Raw genomic sequence first — 21332 nt, forward strand, 5'->3', positions numbered from 1 at the left:
GGCTTGTTGGGACCCTGGCCCAGTATGCTAGCCCACACTGGTTTCTTTTTACCCTGATCAAGGGTGGCCTCCTTTCCCTCCTCTGAAAGTGGCTGTGGGAATGACTTATTACTTTGAATTACTTATTACTTTCTGGAATTTTAATTAACTTATTTTTGTTTTGCTTTGTTCTGTTTGCAGCCTCACTTCTGCTCTCTGATGGCTTTTAAAATCTATGCTGCTGTAGGTGTTCCAGCTGTCACGTGATGTTATAATGAGAGCCATGTTCTCGCAGGATTTTTTAAGTGGGAGCAGAACGCCCCCAGTTGTTTTTTTATTATGTTCGGGACATTGTGCTTGCAAAACTGTAGGAATAATTGAGGCCTGGGATGATGTCATTTTCTTCCAGAGATGATTTTTATTTGCTTCTTCCAAGCCTAACAAGCCTAGGAGTCCTGGTAGTTGGCAGTCTGGAGTAAGTTTAATCCAGCTTTAAAAATTGAGGTTTTTCTGGGCCGCCCAGATGACTGGAAGCTGGGCTGCAGCATGCAGGGAATAGATGACCTGCTCTTGGGATGCAGCTGTTTTGGATTCCAACCCACAGTATGTGTCAGGGCGGGGTGTGGGGTGTTATCAGGGCCCCCACCTTGGTGGGTTCTAGACTCCAATTTTTTTTTTTTTTAGACGGAGTCTCGCTCTGTCACCCAGGCTGGAATGCAGTGGTGTGATCTTGGCTCACTGCAATCTCCGCCTCCCAGGTTCAAGCTATTCTCCTGCCTCAGCCTCATGAGTAGCTGGGATTATAGGCATGCGCCACCATATGCGGATAATTTTTGTATTTTTAGTAGAGATGGGGTTTCACCATGTTGGTCAGGCTGGTCTCGAACTCCTGACCTTGTGATCCACCCGCCTCAGCCTCCCAAAGTGCTGGGATTACAGGCGTGAGCCACTGTGCCCGGAGACTCCAACTTTTATCCCCTAACCCCATGTGGCTCTCATGAATAATGTTCAACCTCTCAGCTGTCTTTTCTTGATTGGCAAATATTGTTAGGTCAAAAGTGGCCCAAATGCAGCTCACCTGTCAGGATATCCGCTTTCTTCCGGATCTTAGCCCAGGATTCTGTACTATTTTGTCAGGGCTCCTATGCTTTCAAGCAAGCATTCAGCTCACCTCACTGTCGTTAGCAGGAGGGTTGGTCCAAATTAGCTAATTTGCTATTGCCAGAAGCTGCCATTTCTGTATCTTAGTTTATTCTTTCAAAAACTCAATCTTCGACAGCTGAGAGCAGTATTTAAAAATTTCTCTTCTCCTATATGATTTGTGGTTTAGGCAACTCCTGAATTTTTGATATATTTCACATTTTATCTTTTGAGATAGCATTATTTAATGTCTTAAGGTTTATAATGGTTATAAACACATGGTGAATATTTTATGCCTTCTATTTCCCAGCCATTGCTTTTTTGTCTTAAATTTTACGTTCTGTTTTTTGTGTAAATTTCATCTACTTTGTATATCTTTGCCTATATTATTATTTTGTAACCATTCAAAAATATTTTGCTTTAAACCTGTGTTATAAAAACATTCACATTGCTTATCATTACTAGCATGATTTACCTACTGTAATTTTATGTTACACATTATATATCTTTTGTTCCTCTTTATTATTTTCTTGTCTTTTGCTATATTAATCCATTTTTTTCTTACTCTTTCTCTCTAGGTTCTTGGGAATTTTCCATTCAGCTTTTATTCTATTAGCGGATGGATAACTTTTATTTATTTTTTATCTTTTTATTTTTGAGACAGGTTCTTTCCCTGTTGCCCAGGCTGGAGTGCAGTGACTCAATTTTGGCTCACTGCAGGCTTGACTTCCTGGGCTCAAACCTCCGAGGACTGGGACTACCAGCTTGGCACGCACCATCTTGCCCGGCAACTTATCTTTTTTGTAGAGATGATGGGGGTGGGGGGTGGTTCTCAATATGTTGCCCAGGCTGGTCTCAAACTCCTGGGCTCAAGCAATCCTCCCACCTTGGCCTTCCAAAATGCTGGGATTATAGGGGTGAACTACTGCACCTGGCTGATACCTTTTATTTTTAAAATCTCTTAACTTCCTTTTTTTTTTTTTTAGATGGAGTCTCGCTCTGTCGCCCAGGCTGGAGTGCAGTGGCATGCTTTCGGCTCACTGCAACCTCCGCATCCCAGGTTCAAGTGATTCTCCTGTCTCAGCCTTCCAAGTAGCTGGGATTACAGGCGTACGCTGCCACGCCTGGCTAATTTTTTTTTAATTTTTTAGTATTTATTGATCATTCTTGGGTGTTTCTCGGAGAGGGGGATTTGGCAGGGACATAGGACAATAGTGGAGAGAAGGTCAGCAGATAAACATGTGAACAAAGGTCTCTGGTTTTCCTAGGCAGAGGACCCTGCGGCCTTCCGCAGTGTTTGTGTCCCTGGGTGCTTGAGATTAGGGAGTGGTGATGACTCTTAACCAGCATGCTGCCTTCAAGCATCTGTTTAACAAAGCACATCTTGCACCGCCCTTAATCCATTTAACCCTGAGTTGACACACCACATGTTTCAGAGAGCACCGGGTTGGGGGTAAGGTTATAGATTAACAGCATCCCAAGGCAGAAGAATTTTTCTTAGTACAGAACAAAATGGAGTCTCCTATGTCTACTTCTTTCTACACAGACACAGTAACAATCTGATCTCTCTTTTTCCCCACATTTCCCCCTTTTCTATTCGACAAAACCGCCATCGTCATCATGGCCCATTCTCAATGAGCTGTTGGGTACACCTCCCAGACGGGGTGGCAGCTGAGCAGAGGGGCTCCTCACTTCCCAGACGTGGCGGCCCGGCAGAGGGGCCCCCCACCCCCCAGACGGGGCGGCCGGGCAGAGGAGCCCCCCACCTCCCAGATGGGGCGGCTGCCGGGCGGGGGCGCCCCCCCATCTCCCAGAAGGGGCGGCTGGCCCGGGTAATTTTTTGTATTTTAGTAGAGACGGGGTTTCACCGTGTGGCGTAGGCTGGTCTCGAACTGGTGAGCTGAGGCCATCTGCCCGCCTTGGCCTCCCAAAGTGCTGGGATTACAGGCGTGAGCCACCGCGCCCGGCCTAAATGTCTTAACATCAAGAATAAGGCCATATCGATCAATAAGATACATGCATACTATTTTGCCACCTCTCACTTTTTATTAATAGTATACTCTTTCTTTGCTACCTCCCAGTTTTTGTCAAAGTAAATTGTGATACAAAAACCCCAATTTATAATCATGAAATATTTATTATATTTAATTTTAATAATAATGATTAGTTTCATATTATATTAATTATAATTATTTCGTTCATTTAGTTTTATTGATTTGATTGTTCTTTGCCTTTTCTTTTACATTTTTTCTGTTGAATTATTTATTTTGATTCGTTTCTTAGCTGGCAGGACTATGTCCTCAAGTACTATTTTTCAAAAAGGGCTTATAGAAGAGCTCTCCCATCCTCAGTGGAGTTGGCTAACATCCTGTACCAGTTACCAGTTTATTACTCTCTGGCTCCAAACGTTTCTCCCTTGCCAGCGGGCACAGTGTTAAACTGTGTCAGTAGAGGGCGCTAGAGGACAGAGAGAAGAAGAGACTTCTCTTGCGGTTTCTTTAAGCTTTCCTTCCTACTTGCTTTCGGGACTCTGAACCCCCGGGGTTCTCAGCTCAGTTTCAGGGCACTTCCGCAGGCATCTTCACGGCTAGTTCTGTGGGTGTCCCACTTAGTTTCCCAGTGGCGAGTTCAGCCGCACCGTCTTGGGTGGATTCCTGGTGGAGCCGACTTGACCCAGCCAGTTTCCTGCGAAGTCCCGCATGCGCACTTCCCCGGGGGCAGCTTCCCAGCAAGTTCTGCGTGAGTCCTAGGTGGCTTTGCCATGAGTTCAGCGCATCCCCCAACAGCAACTTCCGGAGGAATTTTGTGGGCACCCCAGCAGGGGGCTTCCAGCCCCTGAGCCGTGGCCTGCCGTTCTCTTCCCCACAATGTTCGCTCTCTTGACTGTGGCCCGGTTCTGTCCAGGGACAACCCAGAGAACTCTTCTGCCCTCAATGGGCTGCAACGCACTTTCTCCAGCAAGGACTGAACCCCAGTCTCGGAGAGCTAGGCTTCTTCACGTTCGTTCTTTCTTTTTGGGTTCTCCCCCACCCCTGCGAGATCATCTAACATTCCTCTTTATTCCCACTGCACCATTAATTTCTATCCTGACTGATTCACAACCCCGAGTTCCGAAGCAAGGGCAAGCTGTGGGGCGCTTCTTGCCGTCTCTACTCAAAACGGAAAAAGCTGGCCAGGCGCGGTGGCTCACGTCTGTAATCCCAGCACTTTGGGAGACTGAGACAGGAGGATCGCTTGAGCCCAGGAGTTCAAGATCAGTCTGGACAACGTAAGGAGACCCTGTCTCTTCAAATATATATATATATATATATATATATATATATACACACACACACACACACATATACATATGTGTATATATACATATATATGTGTGTATATATATACACATATATGTGTGTGTATATATGTATATATGTATATAATTATATATGTATATATGTGTATATATACGTATATAATTATATATACACACATATATGTGTATATATGTAAAATTAGCCAGGCATGGTGGTACGTACCTATGGTCTCAGCTACTCAGGAGGCTGAGGCAGGAGGATCGCCTGAGCCCTGGGGTGTTGAGGCTGTGGTGAGCTGTGATGGTGCCACTGCACTCCAGCCTGGGGCAGGGACTGAGACCCCATCTCAAAAAATAAAAATAAAAAGAATGGAAAGAACCAATGAAATCTTGATGCTATTAACACCTCTGAATATTTCACTGGTTTCTAGAATCCACACAAAACAGGAATCCTACAGAATGATGGCTTGCAGAGGACATTGTAACAGGGCAGTCAAACCAGTTGGAGAAGTGTGCTCTGTCCTATAAAAACGTGCTCCTTCCTGACGTCTACCCCATGTTGGTGGGCCCATGATCTCCTCCTAGACCTCTCAGCTGAAATCAGTCCTGTCCCTGTGTTTGGTGTCCTTCATACCCTCTCGTGGCTGCCTCCCTGCCACGGCCCTGGCTCAGGCCCTGGTCACCTTGCCTAGGGTAGTGGCTTCCCTGGGAATGCCATCTCCACTCAATACTCCTTCTGGTGCTAGAGTGCCCTGCTCAAGGCCTCACCTCCCACGAAGCTTCCTGAACAGCTTAACTCACTGTTTCTTCCTGTTCTGCCCTCTCCTATTATCTGTGCAAATCTGAAGGCACTTTCTGCTCTGTCATGTACCTGATCTTTCCTGCCAGCCTAGACTGCTTTGATGAAAACTGCATCAGATAGCAGAGGAAACACTTATTTGTATGGAAGTGGCGTCCTCTGCTGGTAGAAGTATGTAATGACTGGAACTTTTCCCTAGCTGTGTAAAGGACCCTCACTGCCCAAAGCTGAGACAACCAGTGATACCCAAGGAAACCCAGCTGCCCTTCTCTCTGCCCACCCCAGTCCCTAAGCATGTAAAATTCAATCCACTGACTCACTCACCAGATTTCCACACCTCACTATTACACTAAGATGTTCCTGATGCTCCAGTCTCATGGATAATGGCAATCTTTAACATTAATTGGATATGCACTGTATATGCCAGGCACTGGGCTAATCTCTTCATCTGTATTATATTATTTAACCCTCATAGCAACTTTGTACGGCAGACAAGTGGACCAGATTCCTTAAAAGCAGAGCCTGGGACAGATTTCATGCATATCTTCTTCTGTTGGGGAAGAACCCTCAGAAGAAAGAAAAGGAAGGAGAGTGGGGTGGGGAAGGAGGGAGCCAGGCTGTGGTGTCAGCTGTGGCTGAGCTGCGGCCTGATTTCATGGGGATCCCTGAAGCATGTGCTACACCAGAGTTCATCTTGTCTTGAGGTCGGGGACTGGCCTTTCCTGCCCCTGTGTCAGACAAGCATCGGCTGCAAGCCCCAAGTAAGGCAGCTTCCATTCCCGGGGAAGTCTCTGCAGAGGGAATAACTGTGAACTGTTACCAGCCAAACCTCACAGCAGCCGGTGGGCAGGGATGGAGGGTTGCACCAGACCAGTAAAGGGGATTTGGCTGGGCACTAATAGCAACCATGGTACTGTTATTTCTACTGTACAAATGCAGAATTATAATCTTCCAGGTTTGTAGATACTTTATAGATTTTGAGTGTTTTCATATTCATTACCTCATTCAATGTTACAGTAAGCTTGAGAGGTAGTGATCATGATCCCCACTTTATGAATGAGAGTGAGAAGTGGGAGACTTCCTCAGGATTGTCCAGCCAATAAATACCTTCTCTGTTTATAAATAGCGTCTTCTCAGATACATAGGCAGCTGTATTGGGTCCCAGTCCAACCTCTTCCCTGTGACATTCAGGCTCTGGTCGTTTACCAAGGATCTTACAGCCCTTTTAACTCAAAAGAGCCATGAAGCTGGCAACCTTCCTTGCTGAGACTAGGTACGAGGATACACCTCCTATCAGGTGAGGCCTTACCTTGCCTGCCTGACACTTTGCTGGGCTCAGAATGCTTCTCCAAATTCCCCCATGGAAAGAAGACACCCGGGCACTTCTCACCTGCTCCTGCTTCTGCAGTTCCCTTGGCAGTTTCCTTAGAGGTGTCCCAGCAAGCTAGAGTCTGTCAGAGGACATTGAGGGCCAGGCCAGAGAAGTTTAGAAAGAGTCCCAGGACTACCTGAGCACTGCCTTCACCTGCCACAGGGGTAGCTGTGCAGCCAGTCTTGTGGCAGAGGCTGGGGTTTCCTGGATCTTAGAAGTGTCACCTCTTCCACCCTCTCAGGGCCCTGGACTTTCGCCCTCAAGCTGCCTCTGGATCTAGCAAAGGCCCTGAGCCATCTTTGGAATGGATGAGTTCGAAAAGCTGCATTAGAGTGGCTCCCCTCCTTCAACGCCACCTCATCAGAGTTCTAAGGGATGCTTCACACCTAAGAGCTGATGAGGTACAGCAGGAGCACACAGGGGACCCAGAAACCTCGCATTGTGTTGAGAAACAGCTGACTGACTCAGGTTCAAATCCCCCACTCTATCACAGGGCATCTCAGTTAAGATGAGGTAGAAATGAGAGTAACAGAAAATTCACAACAGCAGCAATTGTGTTGTTATTGAGTGGCCCTTGCCCTCATGGTACAAGGTAGCACCTGCCTACCAAGTAGCAAAACAGAGGGAGGGACAAAGAAGAAGGAGCAGACAGCAGATGCACAACCTGTGTCTTAAGAAAGGTTCCCAGACACTGCTGCATAACGCGTCTACTTACTTCTCTTTGGCCAGAACTCAGTCATGTGACCACGCCTACCCACACAGGAGACTGGGAAATGCAGTCTTCATTCTGGGCAGCCATGTTTCCTGCTACAACTTTTCTTACCCTGATAAAATAGTAGAAAGTTATTGGAGACTAGCAGCTTCTACCACACTAGATTCTGGCCTCGGGCAAGTCTCATGGCCTCTCTAGGCTTGGAGATAATGCTATCTTACAACAAACAATTTGTATTAACTGAAGCCTCCGATGCAAAGGATCTAGCACAGAGCCTGGAATATACTATGCACAACCTCCCCTTCTCTGTTCCTGCCTCCAGATATTCTGAAGTGTGTGGCAGTAGCTCAAGTGCTCTCAAATGTGGCCACAGTTCCTGCAGCCCGTGTCTGAGTGCTTTCTCTATGCAAACTCACAGGATCACCCTGTAACTTCTTACCAGAACTTCTGAACCAGACCTCAGGGTAGTAGAGTAAGTCACAGTGACATTTAAAGAAGAAATAATGCCACTATCACACAAACGATTTACTCCGTGGAGTCCATGCATTATCCCATTCCATTCCTGCACAACCCCAGGCCATAAGAACTATTATCCTGACTGACAGATTTGGAAACTGAGGTTCAGAGAAGTTAAGCAGCTTGCCCAAGGTGACAGATAGTAATTGGCTGAACTGGGATCAGATCCCGGTCTATCTGGCTCCAAGTCCTTGTCCTGTAATCATCATGGTACAGCAGTGAGGGGTTTCCCTGTATGAGGCATCTACTCACTGCCCAGTGATGGGAACTATTGTTAAAAGATCTCAGGCACACAAGAGAATCAGGGAGGAGTGGGCCCATGAAGGAAGCCTTTTCCCAGGTGAGGAGACTTAGCTGAGCTTTGGGGCCTGTGTGAGACACTGACTACAGTTGTTACCAGGCAGGCAACCTAAGAAGACGCCTGGAGCCTGGAGACATGATGGGAGTCATAGCCTTGGACTTGCCTACACACTCCTCATATTGCCCCAGCCTCAAGGGCAGACCGCCAGGACCAGATGGGAGTGGGGACAGCCCTGGCCCCTGGCCAACAGCTCTGAAAAGAAAAAGTTTCTTTGTAAGCTGCAGTAAATCCTTAGGGTTAATTGCAGCCTGAACGTTCATTTCAAAGACCTCACTTCCTGAATCCCAGGAGCATCCAGAAGAATGGCACCAAGGTGGCCCAGCCCAAAAAAGCAAGACACGAACACTGTCTCAACCTGTACGTTCTCAAGGATAAAGAGGGCCCCTACTAGCAAGACAAATGGGTGGCCCCTATGATCCTGGAGGGGCTGAGCACAGGGGAAGGATGGCATAGGAGACTCCCACCAAGAAGGCAGTGATCCTGGGCTTGGGCGCCCACTCCCTGCCAGAGAACCCAGCCTGGCCTGGCTTCAGGAGCCCTCTAACCTTCACCCTCAGGCCACTTGACCTCCACCTAAATCCAGCACTGCTCCCTGTAGGAAGGCAGGGGTGTGACTTCTTGGTAGTCTCATCTGGCCTGTCTCCCCCAGGGGTGGGAGCTCCCCGAGGGGAGGGCTGTTGCAGGCCCCTTCAGGACCTCAGTTCCTGCAGTGGTCCCCCAATTACGCTTCCTCACTAAGTGTCTGAGGGAGCATTTGCCCAGCATCGCGATTCCTTTAGCCCAGAGCCCTCCCTGAGCAGGCCCAGGATATAGAAATGGTCCAGCGTTGGCCTTTGACCCGGGAGAACAGGGTGAAGGGGACACCCAGGTGCGGACTCCTGCGGGGGTCTGGGTGGGCCCAGTGACGTCAGTTCTGGTTCTCCAGTGAAGGAGACCAATTCCAGGACTGCCCCCAACTTGCTGTGTGATCCTGGGACATTTGCTTAAACTCTCTGAGCCTCATCTTTCCTTTCACACGACAGGGAGACGATCCTGCCTTTGGGAGAATGACTTGAAGTAAATCACTCTTAATCCCTAGACGGAAAGGAGGGAGCGGGAGAATTTCTGCCATCCCACGGGACGCAGCGCAGAGGAGGCGGCTCCCCCAGCTTATTAACCACAGACCAGGTGTGCACGCCCAAGCTCACCGGCAGAGGGCGCCAGGCCTCCGCTTGGTGCTCGAGCCTCGAGGCCCAGAAAAGGTAACCTGGTCCCCAGAGGTCTGAAATCGCTGATTGTGTTTATTCAAAGCCAGTCACCATTGCTCACCCGTCTGACTTACTCTGGGTGTGTGTGGACGGGCGTGCATGTGACCGCGTCTGTGCACCGGGGCTGTGCTGTGGGCTTTGTGCTGAGCCAAAGGTGGGGCTTCTCCTGTCCGCCCGGTCCTGGACTCCCGGCAGCGGCCGGCAGAGGCGGTGCTGATGCTGTAGGAGGGTCAGGAGCCACTGCCTCGTGCTCAGCCCCACGGGCGCCACTCTGTGTGCCCTGCAGCGGGGAGGACCCACAGGGTAGACCGCCTCCTTGGCCGGTGACCCCTGCAACAGAGCCGTCTCTCCGGTGCTCTTGCTCGCCAAGTCAGTGTGAGGCCCGGACGGAGGAAGCCCTGCTTGCTTCTCTGTTCAGAGGAAAGGGGCCAGGGGATTGTAAAATAGGCCTTAGGTTATTGGACAAGAAGACAAAACCAAACCAAACCAAAAGCCTGGTGAGATCACGGTCTCACCCAGACGCAAGTGATTGCTCAGGTCAAATCAGCCAGCCTGGGCTCTGATAACTGCCGGGCCAGGTGGAGCCCGTGCACAGGGGAAGGGGGTTAGCATGGCCTCTGCCTGGGGCTCCCAGCCTGAGGAGGCAATGCATCCTTACCCCAAGAGACCACTGTTTGCAGGACGATACTCCCCAGGATAGTCAGGCTGGTCTGGGAGGCAGCCTGTGGCCACACAGGGTGGAGAATGCGAACTCAAACTGTGAAGCAGACAGGGCTCGCGGAGGCCCCTCCCATCTGCCCCGCCAGCATCCCCTTTTTGCTTCTGCACTTCCCAGAATCACCCTTTTCATAGACACTTACCGAAGGGCCACCATGTGATCATCCTTCCCAGGCTGAGGGTACAGACAGGAGCTGGCAGAGCAGGGAGGGTGCTGGGCATCTACCACAGGGTCAGGAGCCCTGGGGAAGTCTCCTGATGGTGGTAGGTGGCTGGGGGTGGGGTGGGGGTAGAGGGCTGCCAACAAAAGCTTCCAAGACCCTGAAGGAGGCAAGGCACGCTGAGTTTTAAGGAGCCAGAGGCATCATCTTATCGGGTGACAGGAGTGAGGCCCCACTGCAATGCCTGCCGTGGAGGGGCCAGTGGGCTAGGCAGGCACACACAGCAGCTGTGATAACTTTGGGCAGACCATAAGGCAGTTTACGGTTTGCTGAGTCATTTTACAAATCTTTATTCTGTGAGGTTGGTAGAAAAATGAAGCTCAGAGAGGTTAGGTAACTTGTCCCAGGACACAGAGCCAGGACTTGGGCCTGTATATCCCAAGCTCTAGCCTGAACTGGCTCCTTAGGTAGCCTCTGCCCCTCCCACTACCCCAACTCCCTGAAGCAGAACCTTGGTTAGAGCGGCAGGGCCCGTCTTGTTTTGACAGGTCTAGAACTTGTCTTTGTTTTATTTTTCAGGACACCAGAACTGGTTAACATCTACAGGCCTGGCTCACCCAACCAAACATACGGGAGGTGGGTGGATGGATAAACAATGCCACTGTGACCGCTTACAATGAGCGCCAGTTCGTTTAGAAGGCTGATGTCAGGAATTGGCTCAAGTCATTCATTCCCTCCTGGTGATGCCGGGCAAATGCAGAACCAGGGCAAATGCAGAACCAGAGCAAATGGAGCCAGCCTTTCTCGAAGGATTTCTCAGTCTGTCAGACTGGGCTACAGAAATGTGTGACGTGCCGGGAAGTGTCAGGGAAAGTGTGGCTCAGGAGTGACCTGGGTTGTAATCTTAGCTCTACCAGTTCTTAACAACATGTCCTTGGCAGGTTGCTTAAGCCTTGGCCTTTTGTTCATCTGATACATGGAGATGATCATAGAACAACCCAGAGAGTTGCTGGGAGGAGCATACAGATGATGTGCTGTGCAATGACTAGGTCCAGGCAGATGCAACATAAACAGTAGCTCTTGCTATTACTGGACAGCTGGGTGACTTCCCTGTCTACAGAAGGCGTATTTACAATGGCCACTGTCTGCAAGCTGTTCTTCTTCACCCCGGTCAGCCCTGGGTCCTCTCACAAGCCCTTGCTATTCCTCGAGCCCTTCTCTTATCACAGTGTCTCTCCAGTCAGGCAGGTGTCAAATAATTCATTGGGCTACAATTTGATTTAGTGACATTCTTTTTTCTTTCCTTTTTTTTTTTTTTGAAACAGAGTCTAGCTCTGTTGCCCAGGCTGGAGTGCAGTGGCGTGATCTTGACTCACTGCAACCTCTGCCTCCTGGGACAATAGGCACACACCATCATTCCTGGCTAATTTTTGTATTTTTTGTAGAGACGGGGTCTCACTGTGTTGCCCAGGCTGGTTTCTCAAACTCCTGGGCTCAAGTGATCTACCCACCTTGGCCTCTCAAAGTGCTGAGATTGCAGGTGTGAACTCCATGCCCTGCCAACTGAGTGCCATTCTTACCTTAAGGGTGCACAGCACTCAACTTGAGGGAGATGTTCTCTGGTTCCTAGAGTGGATTTGAAGATACTATATCTCACTTCCCTCAGCCACATGCCTTCCCTGAGTGACAGGTTTCCCAGGTGACAGATTTCCAAGTCTGGGGGACCTGGGATGACAGCTGATCCTGCCACTTGCCACAGCGTGTGAACTTGGGCATGTTTCTTGCCCTTATGGAACCCCAGATTCCTTATGTGTCAGTCGGGGCACACTCAGCCACAGAGCTGGGAGAGGATTACATTTGAAATGTGTAAAGTGTCTAACGCCTGGCCCAGTGTGAGGAGGGACTCAGTAGGTGATCGTTGTCTTGGCCGGGCGCGGTGCCTCATGCCTGGAATCCCAGCACTTTGGGAGGCCGAGGTGGGTGGATCACAAGGTCAGGAGATTGTGACCATCCTGGCTAACACAGTGAAACCCTGTCTCTACTAAAAATACAAAAAATTAGCCGGGTGCGGTGGTGGGCGCCTGTAGTCCCAGCTACCGGGAGGCTGAGGCAGGAGAATTGTATGAACCCGGGAGGCAGAGCTTGCAGTGAGCTGAGATTGCGCCACTGCACTCCAGCCTGAGTGACAGAGTGAGACTCCATCTCAAAAAAAAAAAAAAAAAAGATAACTGTCTCATAGTTATGACACAGATGCTGGTTTTTAAAGTTTCAAATATAGAGATTTTACCAAGCCCATGGGAGAGAAAGATCAACTTCACAAACAGGGCTATGGGGCAGGTTTTCCGCAGGCATCTGAACCAGGTTGGCCGAGTCCCTCTGCTCCTTGGCCTCAGCTCTGTGTCCCTGATCCTGCTGGTATGAGCCCACCGGTGGAGAAGGGAGACGAGGGAGGAGGAAGTCCCGGGGTGATCTGCTTCCCCCATTCCCCCCAGACTGTTTCTTACCTGGAGACCTGAGGGACCAAGGAACTGAGGCTGGAGCTGCCCAGAGAAATCTGAAGATTTGGGGTTGGTGGGTGGAGAAGAGGGTGTGGGGTGCTGCTTGGGCCAGGAGGATGGAAGCCTTTTGGAAGAGCCTTTCTTCCCGGCGATGGCCCCCTCCCAACCTCTACCCCACTGACACTCTCTACACAAACCTCTGAAGGAGAGAGGCAGCCCCCAAACAGATCTTCTTGAAGATACCCCAATTCAGGGTCACCCTTCAAGAAAACACACCCCTAAGAAAGCTAACTCCTATCCCTGCTCTGCTTGGAAGCCTGCTGTGGGTGACATGAACACAAGCCAGCCTAGAGCAGGTAGGACATCGGGATCCCCTGAACTGTGTGTGCTGCACACACAGCTCACAGACGTCCTTCACAGCTGGCACTTCCATCCCTGCTCATCACTATCCTGTGGGTTAGCAAAGCAACTGTTTTTATTCCCATTTTACAGACCAGGAAACTGGGTCCCAGGAGGGAAGGGGCCTGCTGAGGTCACACGGCCTATCCTTCATGCTAGAGTACATGGAGAACAGGACTTGCTGTCTCCCAGGGCGGCCCCTGATGAGCCGAGAGCCCAGAAGGGTGTTTGGCTGACTCGAGTGCTCAGCTCAGCTGCCTGGTGAGATGTGCCAAGTCGCAGTACTTTAGAAGGGTGGGAGGCAGCCCGTGCCTGGAAACAGCACCCTGGCTGCCCCCACCCAGGCCCTGACCTGCTGGATGGGGCTCAGACTCAGGAAGAGCTGCTGGAAACCTGGGTTCCCCCTTGGCTAGGAACAGAAGGGTTAGGAAGCGCTTGGGGAGGAAGCTGCCCTCAGTGCTTACCTGTGGGAGTCTGTGGTTTCCCTCTGTTTCCTTGTCCCTCTGGGTTTTTGTGTTACTTTGTTTTTGGTTTTCTTTTTGCTTTTTTCCAGGGCTGACAAGAAAAGGGGAGACAGGGGTATAAATTTCTGAGCTGGAAATCTGGAAGGGGAACTGAGCTGGACTCTGATATGTATCACATTAATCCTGTGTAACATTTCTCATAGGCCTGCCCTTGCTGTGTCTTTGAAAATTGTCATGGCTCGCCAAGGTGGGTGGATCACCTGAGGTCAGGAGTTCAAGACCAGCCTGGCCAACATGGTGAAACCCCATCTCTACTAAAAATACAAAAATTAGCCAGGCACGGTGGCGTGTGCCTGTAATCCCAGCTACTCAGGAGGCTGAGGCAGGAGAATCACTTGAACCTGGGAGGTGGAGGTTGCAGTGAGCGAAGATCGCGTCACTGCACTCCAGCCTAGGCGACAGTGAGACTCTGTCTCGAGAAAAAGAAAAAAAGTTGTCATGGTTTGAACCCATACTTGGTGGCCCCATCTCTGTCTCTGACTGTCTATCTGCCTCTGCCTCCCTCTGTCTCTGCCTGTTTCCTGTGTCTGTCTTTGTCTCTATGTGTGTGTGTACAAATACATATAGGTATATATATTCTGTCTTTCTCTGTTGCTGTCTCTCCCCCGACCAATCTGATCTGAAGGATCACAGAGCTGGATGGGACAAGGGTCACCATCTCATCCATTCACAGCCTTTGACCAAGATGGTCTGTGAACCATTGGATGTGGGTTAGGTTTTGAAACAAACTTCCCCTTCCCGCCCCACTTGGGCATCAGTTCATGCTCAGCTTGGGTTTAACAGTCTCCAGATTTCCTCTTTGAGCCAAATTCTCACCCTTCCTGCTGCTGTTTGGACACTTGCTTTGGTGTCCTACAGGGAATAATGATAAGGCAGAGGTCACAGTCCTGGCCCCCACCCAGCCTTGCCTGCTGCGCAGTGAAACTGGTGTTTGCCGGGGCCGGTCTTGGCCAGGAGAGAGGAGGAGGGGTGGAGGCAGCTGGGGAGTGTGAGCAAGATGCCGCGGGGGCTCGGGGGAGACTGCAGCCAAGTGCTGCGTCTGAGGATATTTATAGACAGACACACAGAGAGACATGCACGCAGGGACAGAGTACTGTTTGTTTCCTGGAAACATGGACTGTTCTCTCAGTCCTACCAGATTTCCCAGGGAGCATCATACTGAAATAGGGAAAACTGTGTCTGCTGCCTGGTGTCCGCCCTCCACATAAGGAGAGATCTGATTCGCTCCACACCCCCTTGGTAACTGCAACGACTGCCCCTAGCCTGGGGAAGCCCTTTCCAGGCGTTCCTGACTGCCCCGCTCACTTCTCTGTCTCATCTCGCCTCCCAGGCCTCCTTGCGCTACTCCCACAGCAAAACACTGCACCAGTGCTTGCCCTTCTTGGGGGCTTCCTGGCCTTTGCACACACAGCTCCGTCTGCCAGGAATGCTTTTCCATCCATTCCTATTCTTCTGGCAAAGCCCTACTCATCATCTGCCCACACGTCACCTCCTCTGAGGGGTCTTTTCTCACCTCTCCTCTGAGAGCTTAGGACTTTGCATGGTTATGTCGCTGTTGTTATTTCTATTTACCTCTGTCTCCGCCTCCAAACCATAAATTCCTCAAAGTCAAGGACTTTCTCTTACTCATCTGTGCGTCCTCAACATGTAGACCAGTGCCTGAAGCAGAGCTGATGAGCAATGGAGAATTGTTGAATGAATGGATGAGATTTGTACAGTATAGCTGCTAAGAGTTCAAGGTCTGTGTTCAGTGGAAGATTTGGTTTAAATACCAGCTCTATGTGAACTTAACCTGGAATTAGAAAACAAAACAAAACAAAAAACAAAAATAAATAAATAAATGCCAGAGCTCTGCCTCTTGCTAGCTATGTGATTTTTCCAGTCACCTGGCCTCTCTAAGCGATTCCACGTCTATAAAGTGGCCTATAACAATAGAACCTTGCAAAGGCCGGGCACAGTGGCTCACGCCTGGAATCCCAGCACTTCGGGAGGCCAAGGCCGGCAGATCATGAGGTCAGGAGATCGAGACCATCCTGGCTAACACGGTGAATCCCCGTCTCTACTAAAAATACAAAAAATTAGCCGGTCGTGGTGGCGGCACCTGTAGTCCCAGCTACTCGGGAGGTTGAGGCAGAAGAATGGCGTGAACCTGGGAGGCGGAGGTTGCAGTAAGCCGAGATTGTGTCACTGTACTCCAGCCTGGGCAACAGAGCAGAGCGAGACTCCGTCTCAAAAAAAAAAAAAAAAAAAAAATAGAACCTTGCTTACGTGATTAACGTAAAATTTTAACGACATTACATATTCCCATGGTGCCTGGCACACATGGGTTTTTCTCACAACCCACATTTTGTCAGCAAACCCTGTAGATTCCTCTTTTAAAATGTCCAGTCTCTTCTTACCTTCCAACTGCCAACAACCCAATCCAAACCACCACCATTTCTCACTGACACCCAGCCCTCACTTATTTCCAGCACAGCTTTCAGAAGCAGTCTCTTAAAAATATGTCACATCATCTGACTCCTCTGCCAAAATTCTCCTTGGCCTCTCCTTCTCACTAGAGGAAAAGCCCAGGTCCTCATCATTCTCATCATGGCCTACGAGGCCCTTTAGGATGGTGTCGCCCACCACCACTGACTCCACCTCTTCACTTTCTCCCCTGCTCTCCTGGCTCCAGCTGCACGCCACTCTGCCCAGTGCCCTTCTACGTGCCATTTCCTCAGCTTGGAATTCTATTCCTTCAGAATCCTCATGCCTCCCTCAAAGGCTGCCTTCTCCATGAGGCCCTCCCTGGCTGTCCAATTTAAACTTTCAATGATATGCTCGCTGTTGGCACATTCTTTTTTTTTTTTTTTTTTTTTTTGAGATGGCGTCTTGCTCCTGTTGCCCAGGCTGGAGTGCAGTGGTGGGAACTCAGCTCACTGCAGCCTCCACCTCCCAGGTTCAACGATTCCCCTGAGTTGAGTAGTCCCTGAGTAGCTTGGACTACAGGCATGTGCCATCATGCCCAGGTAATTTTTGTATTTTTAGTAGAGACGGGGTTTCATCATGTTGGTCAGTCTTGTCTTGAACACCTGACCTCAAGCAATCCACCTGCCTTGGCCTTCCAAAGTGCTTCTTACAGGCATGAGCCATTGCGCCTGGCCTCACTATTGGTACCTTCTATCCCACTTTGCTGCTGGATTATTTCACGTTAGCCTTTATGATAGTATTTATCATTAGTAAATATCATTAATATTTATCAATAGTAAATATCATTACTATTTTAGGTATTTCCTTATTTACCGTCTGTCTTCCCTGGTAGAATATAAGCTTCAAGGGAGCAGGGATTTTTGCCTTTTGTGTTTGTTGCTGTATCCCTAGCATGTAGAACAGTCTGGCATGAATGAGTACTCAGTAAATACTTTGTTGAATAAGTAGATCAGATCTGGGAAGTTTTGCTAGAGTACATTTCCCTCTGTTTACAAGAACTTGGTGCCCCGAGACTGTGAAGATGAGAGCTTATACTGATGTAAAATACGAAAATGTAGCATCCCAGAGATCTGGGTGGGGCTCGGCCACTCCTCCTTGCCCCTGGGCAGCCAGAACTGACTCAGGAGGCAGAACCCCAAAGCATGCTTCTGCCTCAGACTGGATTTTCCCCTCCTTCCAGCCCAGCCCAGCTGCCTCCAGTAGAGGGCTTGGCTGGGAACTTCAAGCTTGTCCTTTTCTCTGGAGAGGATGGGCATTGGGCCTCCACCCTTGGAAGAAGGAGTGGCAGGTGAAGATGACCCACAGCTAAATGGCTGCTAGCTGCCTTTTGTCCAGTTTTCTTGGGATTCCCACAGGGCCTTCCTAGGGAAAAAAATCAATGCCATCCTCCTTGGCCTTGGTTTTCCAAGAAAGCAATGCTCTTCGCTGGGCATGGTAGCTCACGCCTGTAATCCCAGCATGTTGGGAGGCTAAGGCAGGAGAGAATCACTTGAGCCCAGGAGTTCGAGACTAGACAGGGAATCATAGGGAGATCCCGTCTCTACACATAATAAAATAAAATAAAATAAAAAATTAGTGGGGCATGGGGTGGCACGTTCCTGTAGTCCTCACTACTCAGGAAGCATCCGTCTTGTTTCTCCAGATAAACTGAACATTTGCTGACAGCACAGACCCTGTCTTATTCACCTTCATTTGCCAGTACTTTAGAGCATGGTAGCTGCTCATTAAGTTTTTGTGAAATAATTATGAAATTATTCCTATTTCATAATTAATAGTGAAATAAATATTTCACTAGGAGTGAAATAATTATGAAATCACCGTTACCGCCCCCACCCCCAACCTGCCAAAGTCTTCCTAGAAAAGCATCCTGCTGTTTTTCACTGTAACTCCCATCAGGCAGAAAGCCCCAGAACTCGGGGCAGGGAAATGTTCACCCAACCCAATGAGGCCTTCCTGGACCCTCCTTGCCCCTCTCCCACTCCCAGTTCTCTAGCCCCATGTCTAGGAACCTCTCTGGGTCCTCTGGCACTGGTGGTGGGTCCTCTGTCCTGCTCCCAATCCCCTCCCTCTGTCCTAAGAACACTCTTTCCAGGCTCCTAGCTGTGAGTGACACATCAGATACCGCAGCACAGGGTGCTCCTGGATGGAGACAAGGTAGGAGGGTGAGGGATGGTGACAGGATATAAGAAATTCAGAGAGCAGGAGAAATTGGAGAAGGCAGCAAGCCCACTGCCCTCCCTCCCAGCTTGGAGGCTAGATCTTTAGACAAGGTCTGTAAATAACATCAGAGTGGCCTCTGGTTCTGTGTTTGAACTGTGACGTTCTACTCCCCAAATAGAACTCGACTATCTGATCCAGGCATTCCCTGGGCCTGGGGGAGCAGCGAGAACCTGTCTCTCCCTCTCAGGGTACTCTAGAGCCAGGACCCAGGACCCTGCCCCCATGACCCAGCTCACATATCTACGAATCCGTGAGGTTGTACTGAAGGTATGGTTTGTGTGACCTTTGCAACACACTCATGTCTCTGGAGCACCCGAGGTTAGAGTTTTCAACAGTTCATAAGAGAGACAAGTAGTGCTGTGTTTTCTCCCTGAAAATAAGCAGAGATTCTGATGCCCAGGGGGAACACCAGAGTGGGCTCAAAGGTCACTTACTGTGGTCAAGCTCCACAGAAATTCAACCACTCACTCCCCTGTGTTTTGGGTCTCCCAGGAGGGCCTTGGGAGTATGTGCAGTGGGCTGCCCCTATGGGAGGTGGCTGAGAATAGGGAAGGTGGAGAACACAGCCAGGGCCATGCAAGCGTGCAGTGAGGCGTTCTGTCCTGTTACAGTGTGTCTCCCTGCCACCCTCTGTTTCTCCCACCCTCTCGCCCTTTCTGCTCCAATAATCCCTCCTCCCTCCAGAGAGCAGAGGGGTGACTGACGGGTCTGCCATCTGCTGCCTTCCCTCATGCTCCAGGTACCCTGCACAGGAGTAATCTAAACGACTTGGGTAACCGAGATAAGATCCTTGCTGCCATTAAACATTGACAGGCCCCAGTGTGATGAGAGTGCTCAGTTGCAGAGAAACTCCTGGACTAGTCCATGGGGAGGCAGGGAGACCACAGCAGCTGGGCCATTAAAAATGAATGGAAACCAACCCTTCTAAGGGGCTGTGCCTCTTAAAGTGACAGTTCTCCTGTTGGCTGGGGGAGAAGCCAGGAGGATTCAGAAAAGGCCAGGAGGCCCAGGCCCTACCCAGTATTCAAAGTCGTAGCTATTTGTGCCCTTCACACTCTGTTAGTTGGGCGGAAAGAGCGTGGGTTCGGAATCAGGCAGATTTGAATTTGAGTCTCAGCTTGACCCTACAGTGTGGGTTTAGGCACCCTGAACGTTAGTTTGTTCATCTGTAAAATGGGCTTAATACTTACTCAAAAGGCTATAGGAATGAAGTGAAATAATACATATAAGTTGTCTAGTATGGTGTTTGGTCTATTAGAAATAATTACTTAAGGCTGGACATAGTGGCTTATGCCTGTAATCCCAGGACTCTGGGAGTCTGAGGCTTGAGCTCAGGAGTTTGCGACCAGCCTGGGCAACACGACGAAACCCCATCTTTACAAAAAATACAAAAATTAGCCAAGTGTAGTGGTGCATGCCTGTAGCTTCAGCTACTCAGGAGGCCGAGGTGAGAGGATCACTTGAGCCTGGGAGACGGAGGCTGCAGTGAGCTGAGATCACACCACTGCACTCCAGCCTGGGCGATAGAGCCAGACCTTGTCTCAAAAATAAGTAAATAAATAAATAATAATAACTTACAAGTTAGTCCCCCCAGCCAGTTGTAATGGCTTACACCTATAGTCCCAGCTACACAGGAGGCTGAAGTGAGGGGATCCCTTGAGCCCAGGAGTTTGAGGCTACAGTGCATTATTATTGCATCTGTGAATAGTCATTCACTTCAGCTTGGGCAACATAGTGAGACCCCATCTTAAAACAAAACAAACAAAAAATGTTAGTCCCCTTCTCCCTTGCCCCTACTTCTCCTGGAACGGGGTGAGTTTCTTCTCAGACCCAAGTCACCTGAGGAAAACCCTTTCTGGCCTGCTGGGATCTTTTCCCTGTTCTTCTCCCTCCCACAGCTTCCAGAGACCCTGGTCTCATTGTCTGTTCTCTTGCCTGCCTTCCTCTGCTAGACTGGAAGCACTCTGAAAACAGATATCTCAGCACCATTGATTTTCCAGTATCGGGTCAATGTCGGGTGTATACCAGCTGCTTGGAGAATGTTGAATTTAACTAAACTGATAAAATCCTTTAAAAAGATGTATATAAGACCAGTAAGTGGAAGGCAAATGACACAAGATGGAAGGAATTAGGGTAATTTGGCACAGAGAAGGTCATCCCGGCTGTCCAAGCTCACGGCTATCTTAGGTACGGTTAGTCCGACATCCTCACTTTATAATGAAGAAGTCTGAGACCCAGAGAGTCGGTGGCTGAGCCAGAGAGTTCACCAGGCTCCTGACTTCTGGCATCATGCCGGAGAGCTGGGGCTGGGACTGACGGGCTCTGTCCCTCTCCCCCGTGAGCAGGGCAGGATGATCCTCCCAGGCCAAGTGTATGGAGAGGGTCTGTGTCTTACTCCCAATTCCTCAGAATCAGTGCAGGGTGACCCTAAACCCAGAAAGCTCTTGTGACTTTGAGGCCAGCACCACTGTCCTCAGGGCACCTGGAATTTCTTGTTAGCAGGCTGGATGTGCACTTGACTCTGCAAATTTTGGCTCTAGCAATAAGGCCACGTACTTCCTTGATTCTGGGAGGTCAAGCATTAAGTGGGAGTGTTTTTGAAGAGGGAAGAGGATGAGCCACGTCTAACATGGCCAGCCCTTTCCCTGCAGTGCCTGCTCCAAATAACAAACTGATTCAACCTGTCATTAAGTCATCCTGTTATTATGGACTCTGAACTGGTCCTCCATGGAACCACCTTGCAGCTTCCTCAGTGGAATGGCCTGGGGCAAAGATGGATAGGATCCTTCTCAGTAGGACAGGAAGTGGGAGACCCGTCCCAAGGTCCCAGTTGCCTTCTCTGATAAGATCTTTATAGCCTATTCTGTGGGATCATCATGAAGATTAAATAACACAATAAATGTGAAAGTTCTGGGATATA

The 21332-nt window shown here is 49.6% G+C and overlaps 1 long non-coding RNA gene across 1 annotated transcript, besides 6 other annotated features; it reads right to left on the reverse strand.

The window, feature by feature from the left end:
• Positions 1-3236: 3236 nt before the first annotated feature.
• On the reverse strand, positions 3237-10172 carry LOC124904486 (uncharacterized). Its single transcript, XR_007066798.1, has 2 exons — positions 10083-10172; positions 3237-9834 (listed from the first exon to the last, which is right to left on the reverse strand). It is a non-coding gene; the product is annotated as an uncharacterized LOC124904486 (long non-coding RNA).
• Positions 8954-9555: an enhancer, noted in NCBI's record as "H3K4me1 hESC enhancer chr1:203241959-203242560 (GRCh37/hg19 assembly coordinates)". NCBI's record gives its function as "activates a minimal SCP1, AML or CMV promoter by ChIP-STARR-seq in primed H9 embryonic stem cells {active_cell/tissue: H9 hESC(primed)}" and the evidence as "EXISTENCE:reporter gene assay evidence [ECO:0000049][PMID:30033119]".
• Positions 8954-10157: a biological region, named in NCBI's record as "H3K4me1 hESC enhancers GRCh37_chr1:203241959-203242560 and GRCh37_chr1:203242561-203243162".
• Positions 9424-9718: a silencer, noted in NCBI's record as "tiled region #10055; K562 Repressive non-DNase unmatched - State 4:PromP". NCBI's record gives its function as "represses a minimal TATA promoter and a strong SV40 promoter by Sharpr-MPRA in K562 cells {active_cell/tissue: K562}" and the evidence as "EXISTENCE:reporter gene assay evidence [ECO:0000049][PMID:27701403]".
• Positions 9515-9564: an enhancer, noted in NCBI's record as "active region_2342". NCBI's record gives its function as "activates an Ori minimal core promoter by ATAC-STARR-seq in GM12878 lymphoblastoid cells {active_cell/tissue: GM12878}" and the evidence as "EXISTENCE:reporter gene assay evidence [ECO:0000049][PMID:35858748]".
• Positions 9556-10157: an enhancer, noted in NCBI's record as "H3K4me1 hESC enhancer chr1:203242561-203243162 (GRCh37/hg19 assembly coordinates)". NCBI's record gives its function as "activates a minimal SCP1, AML or CMV promoter by ChIP-STARR-seq in naive H9 embryonic stem cells {active_cell/tissue: H9 hESC(naive)}" and the evidence as "EXISTENCE:reporter gene assay evidence [ECO:0000049][PMID:30033119]".
• Positions 19418-19467: a silencer, noted in NCBI's record as "silent region_1717". NCBI's record gives its function as "represses an Ori minimal core promoter by ATAC-STARR-seq in GM12878 lymphoblastoid cells {active_cell/tissue: GM12878}" and the evidence as "EXISTENCE:reporter gene assay evidence [ECO:0000049][PMID:35858748]".

The sequence above is a fragment of the Homo sapiens genome, chromosome 1 (assembly GCF_000001405.40).
Source record: "Homo sapiens chromosome 1, GRCh38.p14 Primary Assembly".
NCBI classification, from domain to species: domain Eukaryota; kingdom Metazoa; phylum Chordata; class Mammalia; order Primates; family Hominidae; genus Homo; species Homo sapiens.